Genomic DNA, 3,112 nt, shown 5'->3' with positions numbered 1-3,112 from the left:
GAGCTCGGAGACTAGCCGGCCTTCCTCACAATCGAAGCCTGTGCCGGGAGCGCATGCGCCCCGCTTTATCTATTGCGTTTCTTTTTCCCCCCACAAGCATTCCCACCGAGAGAAGAATGGGATCGGAAGTTCCAGCAGGGAACGGAAGTCTCTGGCTGGAAAGGGGAAATAAGTGACTATATCTGGGCTGTAGAGTGGGTAAACTGGATCTTTGAAATCGGAGTGGAAGCTAATCCTCCTCTTGCCACCACTCGGCATTTTGGGTCATGTAGTTCTAGAGCTACAAATGTTCCCTGGGGCATTGTGGGCAATGTAGTTCTAACCGAGCCGCTAACGAGCACCTAGTCTTCCCATACACTTTTCGCGCTAAAAAGGCACAAAAGAGAAAGATATTAAAGGAGCAATTAAAAGCACACTGCTCTAGGAAAACGAATGCGCTCCCCCAGAGAGAAAATTCATACCTGAATACTGTAGACGGCTCCCAAATGTTAGCTCAGAATTTCAGAGAAAGAGAGGAACCAACTCTCACTCTCCTTTTTCTGCCACAAAGGCAGTGCATAGGGACAGGAGGCAGATAAATGCTAGGTAGAAAAGAGCGGGTCCCTGGTGAAACCCCACCCTCAAGCCAAAAAGCCTGAAACCATGGCCCAAAGTGAGAACTTCTATCCATGTTTTTCCAGTTGAATGTTGCCTTTTCCTAAGCCACCCATGGCTCTGCCCTGCCTCATCCTGTGCCTAGAAAGACCCCAGACTCATCTGGCAGAGAGGAGAAGCAGCTGGATGAGGGGACGACCATGGCTGGATGTCAGAGAGAAGCAGCTTGTCTTCAGAGGGACAGCTTAAGGCGTAACTTCTGAGACGAATCTGGCTGGAGATAGCTGGACTTCAAGGGAAGACTACATACCGGCCTGTCCCACCCCCCTCTTTTCAGCTCACCTTCCCTCTGAAATCCACTTTGATCAGCAATAAAATCCCAGGCATTTGTCCTTTAATTTGTTCGTGCAGCTTTATTTTTCTTGGACGCTGGACAAGAGCTCGGGAGCCACGAGTGCGGATACAAAAGCTGTCACGCTGGCCCTCTGCCCTTGCTGGTGGAGGGCAACCGCGGGCCCACGGAGCTGTTAACACTTAAGCTGTCCACGGACGACAGAGCCAAAAGAACACTGTAACATGCCCTCTGGGGCTTCAGGAGCCTCAGGCACTCTGCCTGGACACTGCCCCGGGGCCTGCACGGAGTTCGCTCCTGCCGGTGTCCAAAAGCGCACGCTCTGGCTCCTGCACCCACTCACCTGCACGCTCCCTCCTATGAGGGGTGGAACGCGGTGAATCTTGAGTGAGTGGAGTGTGATCCCACTGGTGCTGAAAAACGGCTGGCTTGTTCCAGCGCTTGTGCACTCCAGTTCCCGCCTTGTTCACTTGCGTACTCCCTCCCATGAGGAGTTGAGAGCAGCGGGCTGAGTAAACGGGGCACCCCTGTTGTGAGTCCTGTGAAAGGTCAGGGCAATATCCTGCTTCAGCAGCACCGTGAAGGAGAATGAACAGGGCTTCAGAATGAGGTGATCTCTTGCCTGTCGTGTGATCCTGAGCACACAGCTTCATTTCTCTGAGCCTTCATTGCTTGACGTTCAAGAACTATAAAGGACCTAAAAATACCACTTCACAGTAGGTGTGAAGTTTCAAGGAAGCAACAAGCATGAACATTAAAAAAAAAAAAAAAAATCCAGGTTGCTGACTGAATGTTTTTATCACCATCAAGAGCTGTCATAGGAGAGCTTCCTTTTGATGTTAAAACTTGTTTCTCAAACTCAACCCTCTAAAACGTAACTCTTCCCTCCCACCCCCAACCATTCAGCCTTCCAGTTCTGCCTTCCTCCTAGAGTACACACTCTGTAGGCTCCCAATCTGTCACCTCACCCAGTTGTTTCTTTCCATCAGATGTTCCTCAGACACATCCATCTTCATCTGAGCTCTTGTCACTTCCTGCCCCTCAGCTAAGAGTCCTTCTTCCAGGACAGGCTCTGGTAGCATCCTAAACCTCACCTTCCAGCTTTTCTAACAGTTTCAATTTTACATTTGCTTGTGCGATCCTTTCTGATGTCTAAGATTAACAATCTCAGGTCACAGACTTTCCTGGGAAAGAAATTTAACCTTTTTTTTTTTCTATGACAAATTAATTTCTTTTCAACTCTCTTTTCCATGTGGGTAGTAGAAACAGTCTCAGACAGTTCAGGGTTCTTCCCATCCTTGATTTTCAGGTCGTAGACACCTTTTGGAAAATGAATATAGGGCCAAAGTTGGGGGAGAAAATGTATCTAATCCTGGCCGGGGGCAATGGCTCACACCTGTAATCCCAGCACTTTGGGAGACTGAGGCAGAGGGATCACTTGAGGTGAAAGAGTTCAAGTCCAGCCTAGCCAAAATGATGAAACCCTGTCTCTCTAAAAATACCAAACAAAACTAGCCAGGTGTGGTGGTGTGTGCTGTAATCCCTACTCAGGAGGCTGAGGCAGGAGAATCACTTAAATCCAGAAGGCAGAGGTTGCAGTGAGCCAAGATCACGCCACTGCTCTCCAGCTGGGTGACAGTGAGTGAGACTCCATGTAAAAAAAAAGAAAAAAAGAAAATTCATCTAATTATCAGTGTCAGTTGTTTAAGCTGGCAACTTCTCCCTGACTAATCTTCTGTCACTTATCCACACAGATTGCTACTGAAGATACCTGGGAAATTAAGCTTCTTTTGGGTCTTTGGCCAATGTGTCCCCATGCTCCCCAGGCAGCAACAGCAGCTTTGGTCTGGGAGGAACAAGGCATAGAGTTCCTTCCTCAGGGACCCACCAGCACCAATGCATATATCTCTTTTCCCTTAACTCTCCCTGTTTCTCTGAAACCAAGTGCCCTGAATTTTTTCTATTCCCTGTGGGCTGGCTTATGAAACGGAAAAGCCTTGACAGGACTTCCTTTTTCCTGCATCCTGCTATCATAGCCATAAACTCCCCAGTAGAGGGACACCTCTGGTTTTGCTCATTGTGATACTACCAACACCTAGTATCGTGCCGGGCTGACACGCTATGGGTACTCAATAAAGATTGGTTCAACAATTAATTACTGAGTCT

At 48.5% G+C, this 3,112-nt stretch overlaps 1 long non-coding RNA gene across 1 annotated transcript, besides 1 other annotated feature; it reads left to right on the top strand.

Annotated features, from left to right (window-relative positions):
• The first annotated feature begins 94 nt into the window (after window positions 1-94).
• On the top strand, window positions 95-992 carry TMEM109-DT (TMEM109 divergent transcript). The gene is made up of 2 exons (NR_186356.1): window positions 95-198; window positions 681-992. It is a non-coding gene; the product is annotated as a TMEM109 divergent transcript (long non-coding RNA).
• Window positions 763-1,761: an enhancer, noted in NCBI's record as "H3K27ac-H3K4me1 hESC enhancer chr11:60679869-60680867 (GRCh37/hg19 assembly coordinates)". NCBI's record gives its function as "activates a minimal SCP1, AML or CMV promoter by ChIP-STARR-seq in primed H9 embryonic stem cells {active_cell/tissue: H9 hESC(primed)}" and the evidence as "EXISTENCE:reporter gene assay evidence [ECO:0000049][PMID:30033119]".

Source organism: Homo sapiens, chromosome 11, assembly GCF_000001405.40.
Source record: "Homo sapiens chromosome 11, GRCh38.p14 Primary Assembly".
NCBI lineage: Eukaryota > Metazoa > Chordata > Mammalia > Primates > Hominidae > Homo > Homo sapiens.
This window is presented reverse-complemented; position numbering and strand designations above follow the sequence as displayed.